Source organism: Homo sapiens, chromosome 3 (genome assembly GCF_000001405.40).
Source record: "Homo sapiens chromosome 3, GRCh38.p14 Primary Assembly".
NCBI classification, from domain to species: Eukaryota; Metazoa; Chordata; class Mammalia; order Primates; family Hominidae; genus Homo; species Homo sapiens.
Genome location: NC_000003.12, coordinates 32153835 through 32173361, shown reverse-complemented (window position 1 = coordinate 32173361; position 19527 = coordinate 32153835). Strand labels below are relative to the sequence as shown.

Genomic DNA, 19527 nt, shown 5'->3' with positions numbered 1-19527 from the left:
GCACATGTTATAAGTCCTGGAACTTGCTGGCATTAGTCCTAGAGAAAGAAGGATGAGGCTGAGCATGGTGGCTCATGCCTATAATCCCAGCACTTTGGGAGGCCGAGGCGGATGGATCACGAGATCAGGGGTTTGAGACCAGCCTGGCCAACATGGTGAAACCCCGTCTCTACTAAAAATACAAAAATTAGCCGGGTGTGGTGGCATGCACCTGTAATCCCAGCTACTCTGGAGGCTGAGGTAGGAGAATCACTTGAACCTGGGAGGCGGAGGTTGCAGTGAGCCTAGACTATGCCATTGCACTCCAGCCTGGGTGACAGAGTAAGACTCTGTCTCAAAAAAAAAAAAAAAAATAGAGTGAGAGGGAGAAAGAAGGACTATTGGATATACAAATTTGGATTTAGCCAGAGTTATCCTGGGTAGGGAAGAGTCAGACAGACATACCCATAGGCACGCCCACACTCATATATAGCCTCCTGTGTCCAAAAAAGTGATGGCAAAACAGACACTGTGATGCTGTAGTGACCAAGGGATTAAAATTTCCCTAATCTCTTGATGTTTCTGCAAGTTCAATTTTTAAATTCCTGAAACATCTATTTTTTTTCATGTCTGATAATAAGCAGATGTTGTGACAAGTTTGATTGGGGGCACATCTCATACATGAGCATGAAAACTGAATCATCACACTTATCAACCACAAAAGGATCTCCTCAAACATCTTTTTAGCAATGTATGAAGTGAAGTTATGCTAGCTGCTATAACAAGTAACTCCTATGTCTCAGTGGCATAATACAATAATTTTTGTACCTATCAATCACAGACCAATGTGATTGGGGGGTACTTTCTCCATATTGTCTTGTAGAATCCTGGCTGAAAAGGGGGTCCATCATCTTCAATGTATGGCTTCCAGAACATACTGGAAATTGATATACAACCAGCACGCACAGAAGAAATAATAAAGAACCAGACAGAACACATGAAAGTGGCACTTTTCTCTCCCTATGCCATTGACTAGAACTCAATCATGTGATGCCACCTAACTGCTGGGGAGGTTGGGAAATGTAATTTAACTGTGTATCTACAAAAAAAAAAAAAAGAAAAGAAAAAATAATTTAGTGAACACATGGCATTGTTTCTGCCACAAGCAGATATCGCCATGATCATTTAATTTTTCTCCTTTAATATGTTGATTTCCTGCTCTTTACGGACCTTAACAGCAATCCTATGAGGTAGGCTGCACAGATATTATTCCCACTTACGAATGAGAAAAATGAACCTCAAAGAGAAGTTAGCTGACTTGGCTAAACAACATGGATATTAAATGTTAAGCAGGAGCTAGAACAAGTCTTCCCACAGTACCAGGCCTGCTGTCTCCCATCCTACCAAAGGTAACATCACTTGCTTCAGTAACTTGAATCAATCACAGCTTCAGTAAATTAGATTATCCACACAGATTCTTCATAAAGCGTATTTCCTCAAAAACGTTCACCATCAACTTAGTTTATATGCAGTCATAAAAAGCTATAAAGACCATGTGATTAAATTTTAATGGAAATACATTATGGAGAATAACATAAAATTGAATGCACATAATTAAATCGGGACAAATTTCAGCCTTTTCTTCAAAAATTGCCTCCTTTTTCTCTCTTCTGTAACTCCTATCAGATGTATGTTCAAGTCCTATTCTATCTTCCACTTAATCTTTAAATTCTCAAATATTTTCTTTGCTACTTTAATATCCTCAGATCTATTTTCCAGTTTGCCAATTCCATCTGCAGCTCTGTCAAATCTAGTCTTTAATCTTTCCATCTGCCTATTTTTAAACTTCAAATGATTATATTCATTCCTAAATGTTTGAATAGGTTCCTTTTCAAATCTGCCTGGCTGGGTTCTTTTTTTTTTTCCTCCCATACAATTTATTTTTTAATCCTTCTTTTATGCCTTTATTTTTAAAAATATCTTTCAAAGCATCTGGCCAGGCTCATGCTTGTAGTACCAGGGCTTTGGGAGGCCAAGACAGGAGGATTGCTTGAGGCCAGGAGTTTGAGACCAGACTGGGCAACATAGCAAGACCCTATCTTTACTTTAAAAAAAAAGCTGGGTGTGGTACCATGCCCCTGGAGTCTTAGCTACTTGGAGGCTGAGGCAGGAGGACTGCTTGGGCCCAGGAGTTGGAGGCTGCAGTGAGCTATGATCACACCACTGCAGTCGAGTCTGGGCAACATAGTAAGACCCCCATCTCTATAAAGGATTTCAAATGATTTTAAAAAAGCATCTATCGTATTACTCAAATTATCTGAAATCCTACGGTTCTAACTCTGTTTTTAAAAATCTGTTGGTTTTCACTCATAATGAATTATTTTTCAACTATTTTATTTATCTTTTCAAGACAGTGTCTCACTGCTCTATCTCCCAGGCTGGAGTGCAGTGGCATGATCTCTGCTCACTGCAGCCTCAACCGTCCTGGGCTCAGGTGATCCTCCCACCTCAGCCCCGAGTAGCTGGGACCACAGGTGTGTGCCACCACTGGGTGACAGAGCAAGACTCTGTAGCAAACAAAACAAAACATTTTTCTCACATGGAGCCCAGCTTCTTTGTTTGTACCTCTACCTGGGTTTTCTTATTTCATTTTTTTCCCTGACAACATAGCCTTTGGTGGGCTCTCGTGTAGCATAAGCTTCACAACTCAATTCTTTCGACTCTGGCAATCAGTCCCCTATTTGTTTCAGGATTCTAGGAATTTCCCTTACATTTTTTTTTTTTTTTATTGATCATTCTTGGGTGTTTCTCGCAGAGGGGGATTTGGCAGGGTCACAGGACAATAGTGGAGGGAAGGTCAGCAGATAAACAAGTGAACAAAGGTCTCTGGTTTTCCTAGGCAGAGGACCCTGCGGCCCTCCGCAGTGTCTGTGTCACTGGGCACTTGAGATTAAGGAGTGGTGATGACTCTTAACGAGCATGCTGCCCTCAAGCATCTGTTCAACAAAGCACATCTTGCACCGCCCTTAATCCATTTAACCCTGAGTGGACACAGCACATGTTTCAGAGAGCACAGGGTTGGGGGTAAGGTCACAGATCAACAGGATCCCAAGGCAGAAGAATTTTTCTTAGTAGAGAACAAAATGAAAAGTCTCCCATGTCTACTTCTTTCTACACAGACACGGCAACCATCCGATTTCTCAATCTTTTCCCCACCTTTCCCCCATTTCCATTCCACAAAACCGCCATTGTCATCATGGCCCATTCTCAATGAGCTGTTGGGTACACCTCCCAGACGGGGTGGTGGCCGGGCAGAGGGGCTCCTCACTTCCCAGTAGGGGTGGCCAGGCAGAGGCACCCCTCACCTCCCGGACGGGGCAGCTGGCCGGGCGGGGGGCTGACCCCCCCACCTCCCTCCCGGACGGGGTGGCTGGCCGGGCCGGGGGCTGACCCCCCCCCCTTCCCGGACGGGGCGGCTGGCCTGGCAAGGGCTGACCCCCACCTCCTTCCCGGACGGGGTGGCTGCCGGGCGGAGACGCTCCTCACTTCCCAGACGGGGTGGCTGCCGGGCGGAGGGGCTCCTCACTTCTCAGACGGGGCGGTTGCCAGGCGGAGGGTCTCCTCACCTCCCAGATGGGGCGGCGGGGCAGAGGCGCTCCCCACATCTCAGACGACGGGCGGCCGGGCAGAGACGCTCCTCACTTCCTAGATGGGATGGCGGCCGGGAAGAGGCGCTCCTCACTGCCTAGATGGGATGGCGGCCGGGCAGAGATGCTCCTCACTTTCCAGACGGGGCAGCCAGGCAGAGGGGCTCCTCACGTCCCAGACGATGGGCGGCCAGGCAGAGACGCTCCTCACTTCCCAGATGGGGTGGCGGCCGGGCAGAGGCTGCACTCTTGGCACTTTGGAAGGCCAAGGCAGGCGGCTGGGAGGTGGAGGTTGTAGCGAGCCGAGATCACGCCACTGCACTCCAGCCTGGGCACCATTGAGCACTGAGTGAACCAGACTCCGTCTGCAATCCTGGCATCTCGGGAGGCCGAGGCTGGCGGATCACTCGCGGTTAGGAGCTGGAGACCAGCCCAGCCAACACAGCGAATCCCCGTCTACACCAAAAAAATACGAAAACCAGTGAGGCGTGGCGGCGCGCGCCTGCAATCGCAGGCACTCGGCAGGCTGAGGCAGGAGAATCAGGCAGGGAGGTTGCAGTGAGCCGAGATGGCAGCAGTACAGTCCAGCTTCGGCTCAGCATCAGAGGGAGACCGTGGAAAGAGAGGGAGACGGAGAGGTAGAGGTAGAGGTAGAGAGGTAGAGAGGTAGAGAGGTAGAGAGGTAGAGAGGTAGAGAGGTAGAGGTAGAGGTAGAGGGAGAGCTCCCTTACATTTTTACGAGATCAGCACTGGTTATATTTTCCCAGCTTTTAAAGGTATACATGGAGTGGGGAGAAGGGGATTTCAAATTCACTAGAAGGTCTCCATCCTAAACTGCAATTGTATAAAAATATCAGTAAACAATAAAAACAGATGCATTTAAGGCCTGGGATTAGAGATGAAGCCCTTCTGTTGAAAACTGTTTTTGATATTGGTAATGAAACACAGTTCAGGAAAAAAGAAAAAGCCGACAAATAAAATGATTACCTAAGCTGATAAAAAGAAAAACAGGATCCACGGTGCAAGTTTAGGGGGTTAAATGTTTATTAAATCAAGCTTTTAAATTATATATCCACCTACAGTCTATAAACAAATATAGTACACATGTATGTAAAAGGCTAGCAGATAAGAACCAGTGGAAAAACTAAAGTTCCCTTTGCACACCGGCACCTCATCACAACACCCTCTTGGTGTGGATGCCATGGGGCCATGCTGTAGTCAAAAGTTAAATGAAAAACCACAAGTTTAGTTTGACTCCGTCTCCTAGGGTGGATTTCATTCAGATATTTGTTCCATATTATAGGAGGGTGGATCCTAGCAAGGCAACAGTGTAGTTTTTACATTCACAGATTGGCTGAAGTAGTACAAATTGAGCTGCTAATCTAGGTGTCTCCCTCCCTGTTACCATACTTCATAAGAAATGTGAATTAAAATGAACAATGGACCACAGGTGGTTATAAAAATAGATAACTCGCAGAGTCATAAATATCTACAGTTAGTAGAGCAGAAACTTCTAAAATTTACCTTTTTCCATAATGTGCAGAATATCCTAAGTATGTTCAAGAGACACAGTCAGCAGACTTCAGAGTGGTAATTACAAGGGCATTTGTAAAGAAATAACACTCGAGTACAAACCCAGAGTAAGAAGCTGAATGCAGATGAAAATACGCAAAACACGCAAAGTTCCAACTCCTCACATCTCATTATGCTACTTACTAGACACCACAATTAGCTTACAGCCCTTTATATATCTTTTAAAGTAACTTTTTGTTACCTGTGTACAAACTTTAACAAAGATTTTTCATGAGACAAGCAAAGTGGGTTAATGGTGGCGCTAAAACTGCTGAAACTTGGAGTGTTTTGTGTGCTTTCGTATACTTCTGTGTATGGGGCTTTAAAATGCTCCAAAAATGTTTTGGATAGAGTTTTTAAAATTCCCATGAAAATCTATTTTATAATCATTTCAAGGTATAGAAAAAAAGAAATCCTAAACTGGCATTGAGGGACAGGCCCAAATCTCACAAAGTAACTTAAATTCTAGGAATATATAAATTACATTCATATGTTCATTTAACACGTATCAAGTGCTATGTAAGGTAACTGTAATGGATTCTGAAGCCAATCTCATTTAAAACAGTACAGTAAATCCCATTCTAATTCTACAATTAAAGCACTTATTCCAGGTAATGTGCGTTTCAGCAAAGCTGACATCTTGTACAACAGTGTCACCTTAAAGCTTCATCAAAGATTCACAGCAGGCCTGAACTGTAAAAGTTCAGAACCAACAATGCCACAGGTAGTTATTCATCCTAATTTCTCGCAGGGAGTGAAGGGTCTACTTGAGTGATCCTAAGGTCACCTAAGCCTAGAACAGTGTTCCCTGAAAACTCCAGCAAGTTTCCTCACCAAAATCTCTTCAGTGTAATGTGTTTGGGACTTGCTAGGCTAGAAAAATGGGTTCCACTGATGTATAAACATACATTCGACACCTTCAAGAGGTGTACAGACATAGTGTTTCCCAGACTCACTTGACCTTTCCAGGGAACACCTGGAATAATCACTGGCTCTTGGGACAGTCATTTCCTAGGGAACACAATTAGAGGAATACCAAGTTAAAGCAGATTTTCTAAAGTAGTGGTTCACATATTGTAGTAAGCATCAGAAACACAGATGCCACACCCCTTCAGAAGTCCAGGGTGGGACCTGGGAACCTGCATTTCTGAGACCGCCCCTTCCCCCACCCCCCCACAAGTGAAGCTGATGCTGCTGCACCGAGGACCGCCCTTGGAGTGGCACTTGTTGAGAGGATGGCCTGCATAGATCTCAGCTGCAGGAAGCCCTCCTATGGCCTCAGGAAAGGCTGCACATGGCATTTGCACAACCAATGAGTCGGAGGTCAAATCAGCCCAGTGACTTCTCAGAGGGTCATGCACCTTGGCACTGCACTTGACTCCTGGCTCTGTCCCTGCTCACTAGGTGACCAGGAGGAGTGACTGCATCTAACAAGAGGACTAACAGTAGCCCCTTGCACCCCCCAGTGGATCTGTGATGTTTAAGATAAATGTTTGCTAAAAAATGCACTAACTAGCCTAAAGCATCATACAAGTGTCTGTTAATCAGAAGAATGTGCCAGCCACAGCAGGAAAATCCCAGATGAATTTTCTGTCTTGTTACCTCTGAGCCTTGACGAAGGCATATTCTGACAACTAACGAAGAGAAAAGAGGCTAAAAATGCAGACAACTGCAGTGAGGGGGAAATACATGAGTGGATTATCTAATTAAAAATGCCTGATTGTTAAAAAAACAAAGGTCAGCCCACAATCAAAGTAGTTAATTATGCTGGCTTTGAGATAGTGTTTAAAAGTTAAATATGTTGATCTTTGAACACACTCACTCCTCCACTCTACCATGTTAATGCTGGTTAAAATTTAACACTAGAAAAATGAGAAAAAAAATCCTCCACTCAAATACATATGAATTACACCTAAAATATTTGGCTGAGATCGTTCCAATCTTATAAGCTACGATTGTGTGGAAATTTCATAAGCAATTTTGAAAAAAAGACATCAAATTTTGGCTCATAGAAACATCCACAGAATGAGGAATAAACCACCATTCACATGTTTGCATGTGTGTTTAGTTACTGCCCAGTACATCTTTGCTAATGAACTGCCTCTCACAATTCAAAAACGAACCTGTAAAAATTCATACATATCCGTGATGAGATTACAGTCAAACATCATGTTGCCAAGTCCTGGTTTCCACGTGAACCCAAAAGATTGATCAGAAAGGCAGAACTTCCCCCAACACGTTGCATGATTCACTTTATGTATGCTCTGGATGGCTCTGAAGACAAGACAACATCTCTTGAACTGGTCTGCTTTCGTAGCAGATCTGATACACTGCAGTAAACAATGGAAACCTAGTTGGGAGGAAATGTGAAAAGACAAAGTTAGGCCACTGGATTTACCTCAGAGAATAAGTTAGGTTTTCTGTCCTAACAGATTGCAGGTTAGTATGTGACTATGGAAAACACAGTGAGCACTTTCTACATTCCTTTATTATTTGGTCTGCAGAGAGCCTCTGGAATGTGGCTGTCAGATCCTGGGGCAACCTAGACCATCCTCTGCCTAATTAAGCTTGGAGCACACTGTCCACAACCAAGTCACACGGTGATCCTACCAGGGCAAACTGTTGTCATTTACATAGGAGCTGTGGCTCCAACTCTTGGTCAAATCTTGGAGGAGTCTATATTCTGTCATTATTTTAAAAGTTGTAAAAATAAATTTTTAAATTGCAAGGAGGCATTGCTCTCCCTTCTCCAAAAAGAATCATCCCAAGGTAACAAATAATGTAGGCTGGAATGCTCCCGCAAGAATCCGAGTGAGGACCCACGATTAGCAAAGCACTCATCTTATGTCAGAAGCTTGATTTATCTTACCTTTTCTTCCAAGATGTGAATACAGATATAAGTGAAAAATCACTAAAGAAATAATTTCATCAGGCTTTTTTTCTTTTTTCTTTTCTTTTGCGACAAAGTCTCACTCTATCGCCCAGGCTGGAGTGCGGTGGCATGATCTTGTCTCACTGCAACCTCTGCCTCCTGGATTCAAGCGATTCTGCTGCCTCAGTCTCCTGAGAGTAGTTGGGATTACAGGTGTGTGCCACCACGCCTGGCTAATTTTTGTATTTTTAGTAGAGACGGGGTTTTACCATGTTGGTCAGGCTGGTCTCAAACTCCTAACCTCATGATCCACCCACCTCGGCCTCCCAAAGTGCTGGGATTACAGGCGTGAGCCACCGCGCCGGCCCAGGCTTTTAAATACACACACACACATAGCTCAAAGTGAGCTTGGCAGAATCAATAGAGTCTTGAAAGGCAATCCTGAAAATTAGCTGGACAGAACCTTATAATGATAATTTTTAAGAAGAACAAATAGTACTAATAGATCACATGTCTTTATGAGAGTCTATCGTTGTAGGGTTGTTTCTTCATTGTAGTTTTTTTAAGGTACGGAATGTTTTGCTACTTTTTTGTGGAATGTTTTATTTTTTTGGAGTCAGGTAGACCTAATCAACTCTGACTCTACAGCCTACTAACTCTGGGCAAGTTTCACAATCCTTCTGACCCTGTTTGCCCATCTGTAAAATGGGACTGGATACACAGCCTTGCTGCAAGTATTAAATGACTTATGTGTGAAGCACACAGTACACACTTGGCAAATGGTGGATGTGCAGTAACAACAGCTTATAATAGCAGCCACAAGATGGATAGTGTGTCCTGGACCGAGAAAGCTCCCTGAGGACTGGGACCAAGTCTGTTTTTTTCACTACTGTATCCTCAGTGCCTGGCACCATGCACGGCAAGGGGCAGGTGCTCCGTGAGAATTCGTTGAATAAATTCCTGTGGATTGGATTTAAAGCCTAGAAACTTCAGCCCCTTTCTTTGTCCTTCCATGCTATGTTTCCCTGTTCCTAAAACAAGAACAATGTATATGTCCCCAAAGCAGTGTGGTAGCAGATGACTGGCCATCCAAAGCCATTTCCAACCTGCTTCTCCCTTTCCCCAAGGTTGGAAGAGACTACTCACCTTCCTAGCCTTTCACCTAGAATTGGTCAAGTAACACAGTCCTAGGCAGCAAGACATAATATATCTGCTGAAGGTTTCTCGAGGAAGATTTCTCGAGAGGCACTAGAGGAAAAATCTGTTACCCCAGACTACTCTTGTTCCCTTCCTGAGTGTAAAAGTGAATGTGATGCCTGGAGCTGCTGCAGCCATCTTGAGGTTCAAGGGAAAGCCAACAGGATCACTGAGATTCTAATCCAGAGCCAGAGCCACTGGGCCAACACTTTAATAATGTTCACCTCCATATTCCCTGTTATAACTGTGTGTTGGTCTTGCAGCTGAAAGCACTCCCAACTTTTAAAACTATCATTTCCAAAGTGCATTCTGTGGAAGGGATGTTAACAAGAGATATGAAGTGTGTGGAAGAGAAATTTCTACAGACGAGTAACTTGTTTAATCCTTACAATCACCCCATGAGGTAGAAAATATTGTCCCCATTCTATATATGAGTAAATTGAACCACAGTTTTGGACTCTGAAGCCAATGATCAACCATTAGGCTACACTGCCCATCTAAATATTATTTTCTATTACATAAAATGCTAAAAGGACAATTAGATCAGTTTGGAAGACTCTCTAAATAAAGTTAGAGGTGAAAGGAAGAAAAAGACAACATTTCATTTAAAAAAATGACAAACCAGAGGCCTGGGTGTGCTGGCTCACGCCTGTAATCTCAGCACTTTGGGAGGTTGAGGCAGGTGGATCACGAGGTCAGGAGATCGAGACCATCTTGGCTAACACAGTGAAACCCCGTCTCTACTAAAAATACAAAAACTTAGCTGGGCGTGGTGGCGGGCGCCTGTAGTCCCAGCTACTCAGGAGGCTGAGGCAGAAGAATGGTGTGAACCTGGGAGGTGGAGGTTGCAGTGAGCCAAGATCGTGCCACTGCACTCCAGCCTGGGCGACAGAGCAAGACTCTGTCTCAAAAAAAAAAAAAAAAAAAAAAAAAGGACAAACCAGTCAGCCAGCTATCCCACTAATCAATACTGAGGGCTTAAGATGTTTCAGACTTCAGACTAAGTGCAGGGATGTGCAGTATTATAAATAAAGCCAGGCCAGGCGTGGTGGCTCATGCCTGTAATCCAGCACTTTGGGAAGCCAAGGTGGGCAGATTGCTTGAGGCCAGGAGTTCGAGACCAGCCTGGGCAACGTGGTAAAAACCAGTCTCTACTAAAAATGCAAAAATTAGCTGGGTATAGGGGCACACGCCTGTAATCCCAGCTACTGGAGAGGCTGAGGCAAGAGAATTACTTAAACATGGGAGGCGGAGATTGCAGTGCTGAGATTGCACCATTGCACTCCAGCCTGGGTGACAGAGTGAGACCCAGGAGCTTGCAACATGCACCTCAGAGAACATGTTGTGTACGGGCTGAATTGTGCCCTCCTCCCAATTAATATGCTTAGGTCCTAACCCCTAGTATCTCAGAATGTGACACGGTCTTTGAAAAGGTAATTAAGGGCACTTTGGGAGGCCGAGGCGGGTGGATCATGAGGTCAGGAGATCGAGACCATCCTGGCTAACAAGGTGAAACCCCGTCTCTACTAAAAATACAAAAAATTAGCCGGGCGCGGTGGCGGGCGCCTGTAGTCCCAGCTACTGGGGAGGCTGAGGCAGGAGAATGGCTTGAACCCGGGAAGCGGAGCTTGCAGTGAGCCGAGATTGCGCCACTGCAGTCCGCAGTCCGGCCTGGGCGACAGAGCGAGACTCCGTCTCAAAAAAAAAAAGAAAAGGTAATTAAGGTAAAATGAGAGGCAAAGAAAAGTTCCATTCAAGAAAAGACGGTACCATAGGGAGTAAGAGGATGTACTGCAGGAAGTTACATTGGTGCTAGATTGAGGGGGGCCACATCTGCCTAAGGACCATGTGCTTCACTCTATAAGAGCAGGAGGCCTCTGAATGTGAATGCTCAAGCTGGTAGGGACCATGGTGTTCATCTGGTCTTCCATCTTAATTTTGTGGATAAGAACACCGGGGCACAGAACAGCTAAATACGTGACTTGCCCAAGGCCACAGGGCTAATAAGCCACAGGGCAGCCTTGAATGCTGCCCTCCTGCTATTTTTTCTATAGCAATGGAGAAGAGAAGGGAGGGAGAAGGAAACAGAGGAAGACCGGAGTAGTGGTGGTCAGAATGAAAAAGGAAAAAGGAATCAAAGTAAGAGGTGGTGCAAAGGGAGCACAATAGGCCTCTGCCTTTGGGAGGCAGGTGGTACAAGGAATGGGGAGGAGTCCCAGGGGATTCTACACTCCAGCCCAGGAGAAGGGTGCTGCCACGTCCAATCCAGCAGCGATGTTATTAAGCACAGGTGGAGCCTGTTCAATCTCTAATCAGAAGAAATAAAATGGGACATGACCAAGGAGAGATGTCTGCTCAGAGCAGAGATTTACCTGCTTGATTACACCTGCTTTTGAAAACAGGGAGCTACTGGCCCCAGAATCGCAATTCTAGTCCATGTCCCCCTGGAGCTAACAGGCTAATGCCCAGCCAACCTGTCCATCCAGAGAATCCTATCAAGGCACCCCATGGTAGCACACTTGGGGTGTGTTTCAAGATGCCACTTGAAAATTCTGGTTGGGAGAGTCTCACTAAACAGCCAAGTATTATTTTTTTTTGAGACTTAAAAAAATTTCTTGATAAATGCTCAGTGGTCATTAAAGTAGTCCAACCACACACAAACATATCACTGTCTGCTGCTAAGTAGGTAAGGAAAACCATGCATGTCAGAGGCATTTTCCTTTTAGCCACAATTTAAAGGTAGTTCTCCTCCTTTGGCAGCCTGTTTGTGAACTTCCATCTCTGCATGGCTGGTTTTAAAAGCCATTTCAGAAAAATAAAGTGCAAATTTAAAAGGTAAGACAAATGCTCCATCCACCCTCATTTTTAACTTTCAGTACAGAACTCCATGGCTGATTAATTTGTTCTGGGTAAAAGGAGGAGGGGTGCTGGGTGCAGGGGGAGGTAAAGATGCATGACTGGGACCAGCAGACACCTAAACTGACAGAACCAGGATAAAGGAGCTGCAACCAGAGATAATAGCAACAACATCCACGACCCTCCTCCCAGCTTGGAGAGAAGCTCATGCTCTAAATTAGCCACAATCAGCATGTCATTCCAGCTGCCCAGCTCCCTTCAGTCCTAGGCAACAAGACCTCCCCTCCCCTAGAGAGTATTACGGGAGAGTTAAGGATACATGCAATATGCTGCATAAGCATTTATGCAGTGGTGTAGTTGGCATCATGATTATGGTCCTCCACAATCATGCTCAGTAAATCGGCAAGAGAAAGTGCTGTGGAGCAGGTAGGGCTGGAGAGTGGCCTCAGGAGAGGCTGGGAAGCTTTTCTGGTGCTACAGGGCTCACTCTCTCAATCAGGTGGCAAATAAACTGACTTAAGCCCACCTTTAACACACAACTGGCCTGGAAGGGCAATGGAGGATGGATGCACCCACCCATCTATCCATCCATTCACCCATCCCACCCATCCACTCACCCATCTATCCATGCACCCATCCATTATCCATCCCTCCGTCTATCTCATCCCATCCCACCCACCCACCCATCATCCATCCATTCACCCATCCCACCCATCCACTCACCCATCTACCCATGCGCCCATCCATCATCCATCCCTCCATCTATCTCATCCCATCCCACCCACCCACCCATCATCCATCCATTCACCCATCCCACCCATCCACTCACCCATCCACCCATGCACCCATCCATAATCCATCCATCCATCCATCCATCCATCCATCTCATCCCATCCCATCCCACCCACCCATCATCCATCCATTCACCCATCCCACCCATCCACTCACCCATCTACCCATGCACCCATCCATCATCCATCCATCCATCTATCTCATCCCATCCCTTCCCACCTGCCAACCCACCCACCCATCATCCATCCCTTCATCCCATTCCATCCCATCCCATCCCATCCTAAGCCCCATCTACCCACCCGATGAAGAGACTGGAAGGCTGTGCACCAAACTTAACAGAGCTACCTTCTAATGGTATAATGTTGGGCTAACTCGTCCTTCCTTCTTTTCTGACTTGACATTTTAATAACATAACCATACTTTTTAATAAAAACAAAAAAGTAATTTTTACAAATTTTAAAACGTATGATATGTAGCTTTTACCAAACACCCTGCGAGACAAACTAGAATCTTAAATTTTGTATTTTATAACATGACTTATAGAATTGAGCTCCTTTCATTGAAGTTGAGCCTGGTTTTGTGTAAACACATGTTTTGGGAGTAGGTAGATGCTTCTCATCACAGACGTTCACATCACACAAAGGACTGAACTAATCCAGATAAGTTCTAAGGGCACTTGTCAAATAGTCTAGCTCATCTCCGTGGGGCTGGAAGTCCTGAGAATAGGAATGATGGACATTTATCTGGTCTCATGGGCGACTGAGAGACTTACTTGTCCAGTAGTCCCTTCTGTTTGAGGATGCGGTACACTTCAGCAGAAGTCTGCGGTCCTTGGAGCTTTTGCCCATTCAGCATCTCCTTCTCCAACTCTTCAATGGTCTTAAAAACAAAGGATTATATATTTAAAAAAACTATGGTAAAGACTAAAGAATCATTTATTTGTTTAATTTTTAAGTGTTTTTTTTCTTTTTTTTTTTTTTTAGAGAATGGGTCTTGCTATGCTGTGCAGGCTGGCCTCGAACTTGCGGCCTAAAGCAATCCTCCCACCTTGGCCTCCCAAAGTGGTGGGATTACAGGCATGAGCCACCACGCCCGGCCTAGCATCAATTATTTCAAGAGCAGAGTGAGAGAAGAGCTTCAGTCCCCTGCTGGAAGCCAAGGAAAGATAAAGACACAAAGATAAAGAACAGAAGAGTCAAGTGAAAAAGCAGCCAGGCAAACGGAACAATCCCAGCAAATAGATGCTGGCATGAAATCTCCACTGGGCTGCAGTTCACCCCAAGCCAGGAGTCTCAAGTGAGGAAGGAGGGGGTGCGGGAGAGCAGGTGAGGGGCTACCTTCCCAGTTCTGGCGAAGGCCTCGGCCACCCTGCGGTTCCGCCCTCCGTAACAGGTGGTGATCAGGTCGGCCACCCCGCAGCTCTCTAGGAAGGTGGCTGTAGACACTTGGCCTTTGCAGAAGATCCTGGCAAAAGCAATCATTTCCATGAGTCCCAGGCGGATGACGGCCGCTTTGGTGTTGTCTCCACAGCGGAGGCCGTCGCAGAACCCAGCTCCCACAGCTACGATGTTCTGCAAAGGAGATGACAAAGCCCAGATGCCGTTACAGCACCCACCACGGGTATGGATGCCAGAGGTGGTGGGGGATGCCGAGGCAGGGGCAGACCAGGGACATTGGCTCCATCTTCAAAATACTCAATGCCGGGCTCTGCTCTTGTACACCTGGGTGAAAGAGATGACGAAAGGAGAGACAGGGCTTCCATATTCCCCTTTCTAGGACAAAGAGCCCATATTTGGGGTCAGCAGTTGAAGAGCATTGGACAGAAAATCAGAACGGCTGATAGTAGTCTTTGGTTAAATAATGTTTGGACAAACTACTTTACTTTTTGTTTTGTTTTAAATGGAATGCTTTATGCAACCATAACATTCATACAGAAAAGTACACAAATCCTAAGTGCACGGATTGAAGAATTTTCACAAACTGAGCATACCCCCATAGCCAGCACACTGATCAAGGAGAAAAGCACAGCCAGTGCTTCAGGAAGCTCCCGAGAACCCCTTCCAGCCCACCTCCACCACCAAAGGTAACCACTCTCCTCACTTCTCACAGCATAGATGTGTTTTACCTGCCTTTCAACTTTTTGTGAATGGAGTCATACAATATGTAATATTTTATGTGTAGCTTCATCTTAATTCAACATCGTGTTTGTGAGATTCATCCATATTTTTACATAGAGCACATTTATTTTAATTGCTGCATAGTATTCCATTTTGTGAATATGCTGCAATTGATTTAATTATCTCCTGTCAACTGGCACTGGGGTAGATTCCAGTTTGGGGCCATGACAAACAGTGCTGCCATGGACACCCTGGCACATGCCCTCCGGTGACTACGTGCAGGCAATCCTGTTGGGTATGACCTAGGAATTGAAACACTGGGTCATGAGGCCTGTATGTGTGCAGCTCAAATTCCAGCCTTTTGCTTCATTTAATAATCCCCAAATGAGTATTTATGGAGCACTCACTCTCTGCATGGCCTCTGCTAGACACAAGGCAAATGAGACACAGAGCCTGCCTTTTCAGAAGCTGAAAATCTGCTAAGGGGGCTGGCAATCTAGGCCAACTGCCTGTTTTGTAAATAATGTTTTACGGGAACCCAGCCATACCCATTCATTTACACATCGTCTATGGTTGCAGATTTGAGTAATTGCAACAGAGACCATATGGTCCACAAGGCCTCTTCTGTCTGGCCCTGATGGAAAACGTTTACCAGCCCTGACCTTACAGGAAAAATAAAACGTGTACAAATAACTGTTAATGCTCAGCAGAAAGTGATATTCCATAAAAGGTACTGAGAATCTGAAATTCCGTTTCAACAGGTATGCACTGAGCATGTACTGTGTGGGGAGCACCCCACTCAGCCCTGGAGGGACACAGTGATTGCAGGGGCTAGCGGGTGGCAGGGGGAATGCAGGGGCTGAAGATGCCCCCAGGGGAGAGCTGCAAAGATGAGAGTTAAGACATAGAGCTTGTCCTCAAGGAGCTGACAATCTGGCTGAGAAAAGAGACACAACAAAGCACATCAAAAGGCAGAGGGGATGGAGTGAACCTGGGAGGTGGAGCTTGCAGTAAGCCGAGATCGCACCACTGCACTCCAGCCTGGGCGAGAGCGAGACTCTGTCTCAAAAAAAAAAAAGGCAGAGGGGAGAGAGTGTGCTGACAAGTGGCAGGAGCCACAAGCTTCCGTTCACAGCAGGGAAGGCCACATGGAGGAGGCGGCATCTGAGCTGGGCCCAAATAATAAGTAAAAGTCAGATTACCACCTATGACAAGTAACACCTGCACAGTTGCACAGGTGGCAACTCAGTTGGAACTTCAGTTGAGCCCCTAGGTTCCTGGCCCCTTCCACTTTTCCAGCTCCTTCACCAAGAACACTCAATGCCCCCCAAAAAGCAAATATCCAACTGTCTAACCACACTAGCAATTCCAGTAATACCTGTGACTGTACAGAGAGCCGTGGGAGATTTTAAAACATGAACTTAGTTTGGGAAATGAGTTAAAATAAGTGTATTTTAATAAAACCAAGTTTTATAGTGAAAGAATAACTTTTCTTAAAACATCAGGCCTATAAAATGTGAGGGATGAGATGAAAAACAGAATGAGCTGGGGAATAAAAATGTCTTCTCTAGTACACAGGCAGTTTTTGATAAAACACATCAAACATATCATTGATGTGGCCGGGCTCACCATGACAAACAGACTTGGTCATTTAGATACAGCTATTGCTTACCAGAAGACCGAGGCGCAAAGATACTTCACATGAAAAAAAACATCCAATTGGGCCTCCTGAAGTTTCTGTCTACTCCCCACAGACCCACAGAACAGAGCCCTCTCTTGCCCTCTCCCACGGGGTGATGTGGAATGAAGAGGGCTAGAGAATAAAGGATGGGGATAGGAAGGCCCCCTAGTGTCTTCTCTTCCTGAGCAATAATGTGAGAGCTTACTGCGGTTGCTGCTTATGCCTCTCATTGCAGTCAACATAGAAAGGAAAAAGTGGAAAAATTCTCTAAAAATGATGCAGGCAGAGCTGATGAGGAATTGGTCCTAGGAACTGACAGCCTGACCAAGTGCATATGTCTTCGTAAGGTACCAACTTGCCTGAACCTGCGAAAGCTTCTCAGCCTCTTCCTACCACACAGGCTATGCGAACTATAGGTTTCATCAGTTCTCATCAGTGTGTAATTCCCGGCTTACACACTCTCAGCAACAGGCAGCATCATGGAAGAGGCAAGGCAGAAGCCGTGTGAAAGGAGCCTGGAGAGATGCTGGGGGGTCGGGTGCGATCTAGTTCTGCAGCTCTGCTTCTAGAAGGGGTGAGTTGCCGAGTCAGGATGGGACAGCCAGACCTTTTAGGATGAGTGCTATGCAGAGGCTAAGAGCAGGGACCATAAGAACACCTGGGGCTGGGCCCACCTAGGTCTGGACGCCCTTCCCAGCATAGCAGCCAGACTAAGGAGGCTACAAGGAGACGGAAGCGGTACACGGCACTGACATCCAGAGAGCCTCTACATTGTCACAGTGTGACCTAGGCCAACCACTCCACCTCTCCGGCCATCTTCACCTCAGATGTAAAATTCAGGGCTTGGACAAGACTTTTCAAGGCCCTTCTAGTATTGACATTCTTTCAGGAAAGTTGGTGCAATTGTAGCCTGCACTGGGGCTGCAACCAGTACTGGGGCAACAGATTGACACCTGGGGACATGCAGCGGGTCTGACTGCCGAAGCCCAGAGGCCAGCCCTTGGGTGAGCTGGCCAAGTGGTTTTATTGAAGTTGCCATGCAATGTGGCGAGGCTTAGGCTGTTGGCCAACTGGTCAGATTCCTGAAATTGCTCTCTGATGCCCCCTGGACTGTGTCCCTATTTCCCCCTCCATCACAACATGAACCATTCTGAAACTGTTATATGAAAAACCAACCCCAGGAAATGTCTATGGGCTGAATGGGAGAGAACATGGACTTCTGTTCAACAAGGGGCTCCTGTCAACAGAGGAGGGGAGGCACTTATTTATTACGTGCCTTCAGCCAGCCCAGGCTAGTTACACACTGCCTCATCATCATTCCCATGACTCAGAAGTATGTACCTATCCTCCTATTTCCCAACTGGCACAACTGAGGCTCAGAGAGGTTTAGTGGCCCACTGAGAACACCTCACTGGTAAAAGATGGAGTCTGGATGTGCCCCTGGTGCCTGGCTTTGCAGCCCGCTCTGTCCCCTGTGCCTTGCTGCTCCAGTGTGGGAAATCTGCCCTTCCTCCAACCTCGGTCAAAAAGACCTGCCTGACCCTTTGCAATTGGTTGTCAAAGGAGAGTGCCTCCCTGGCCTACACCAAGGCTTGGGAGGTAAAAACGGTAGCTTAGGTTGGGCATAATCCTAGCACTTTGGGAGGCTGGGGTGGGTGGATTGCTTGAGCTCAGGAGTTTGAGACCAGCCTGGGCAACATAGTGAAACCCTGTTTCTACCAAAAATACAAAAAATTAGCTGGGCATGGTGGCATGCACCTTTCGTCCCACCTACTTGGGAGGCTGAGGTGGAAGGATCACTTGAGCTGGGGAGGCGGAGGTTGCAGTGAGCCGAGATCATGCCACTGCACTCCAGCCTGGGTGACAGAGTGAGCCTGTCTCAAAAAAAAAAAAGTAGCTTAGGAGAAGAAAAGGTAATAAAAAATAGCAACAGCAAACCTTACTGAACTGTTCTAAGAGCTTCATATATTATTACCTCATTTAAACCTCACAACATTGTCACAGGGCAGGTCCTATTATCATGGGAACATGATAGGAAACTGAAGCACACAGAGTAAGGACCTTGCCCGAGAAGATCACGCCACACCGTGCTGCTCTAGGGTCAGTGAGTGAAAGGCACAGAGAGGCCACCGCAGAGTCCAGATGAGAACTTTCTAACAGGAAGAGCTGACCTCACCCAACAGGAAAGATTTAGCAGGAGCTCTCTGCAACCAGAACCATCCAAGCAGGACTGTATGGACAGGCCCTGAGCTCCAAAGCAGTGTTTCTATGTTGCTGTACTCAGAAAAGCCACATGAGGGTGCCTGGGTGCTCCCTCACAGCTCCTCTGTGGCCCCTTCACTGCAGGGCATGGGAGTCTAGACCACCCCAAAGCTTCTACTAGAAGCTTTTACTAGACATTTAACCTTCCCACCAGGGGAGATCAGGAGACCTAGTGCAGGGTAAACTCCTCTCTTCTAAGAGGACCCTGGGCTGCAACCCAGTTTAGTCGCCTTATGACAGATCTTGAAATCCTCATTCTCTCCCTCCACCACTTACCATTGTCAAAAGAAAAATAAAGATACTGAGCCAGTCAGAGCGTGTTTGAACAGCATCCGAGCAGATGTCCTCCGAGATCGCTCAGATGTGAAAGTTATCATTATCCACTGTGCATTTAAATCTGCTTTAAACTCTTTTGGAGCTAAAAATACCATAATTTTCAGAAAACAGACGTATGTAGCTCTTCCCCATCTCCTGAGTGACGGAATACTCAGAGGCAATCATCCACTCTTGAGTGTACTCTTTCCAGTTCTGAATAGGGGTGGGTTGGATGGG

General features: G+C 46.0%; 1 protein-coding gene and 1 non-coding gene across 3 annotated transcripts in view, besides 1 other annotated feature; both read right to left on the bottom strand.

Moving 5' to 3' along the window:
• Nucleotides 1-606: 606 nt before the first annotated feature.
• On the bottom strand, nt 607-706 carry LOC124906367 (small nucleolar RNA U13). The gene has a single exon (XR_007096334.1). It is a non-coding gene; the product is annotated as a small nucleolar RNA U13 (small nucleolar RNA).
• Nucleotides 3362-4019: an enhancer, noted in NCBI's record as "H3K27ac hESC enhancer chr3:32210835-32211492 (GRCh37/hg19 assembly coordinates)". NCBI's record gives its function as "activates a minimal SCP1, AML or CMV promoter by ChIP-STARR-seq in primed H9 embryonic stem cells {active_cell/tissue: H9 hESC(primed)}" and the evidence as "EXISTENCE:reporter gene assay evidence [ECO:0000049][PMID:30033119]".
• The window catches only part of GPD1L (glycerol-3-phosphate dehydrogenase 1 like), a 62090-nt gene continuing 47215 nt past the window's right edge, over nt 4653-19527 (bottom strand). For both annotated transcript variants that reach the window (NM_015141.4, XM_006713068.3), the window contains 3 exons: nt 14253-14486; nt 13688-13794; nt 4653-7548 (listed from right to left, as the gene is read on the bottom strand). In NM_015141.4, the coding sequence (NP_055956.1) occupies nt 7452-7548; nt 13688-13794; nt 14253-14486 (438 nt within the window). In that variant the 3' untranslated portion in view covers nt 4653-7451. The remainder of the gene's footprint in view (nt 7549-13687; nt 13795-14252; nt 14487-19527) is intronic.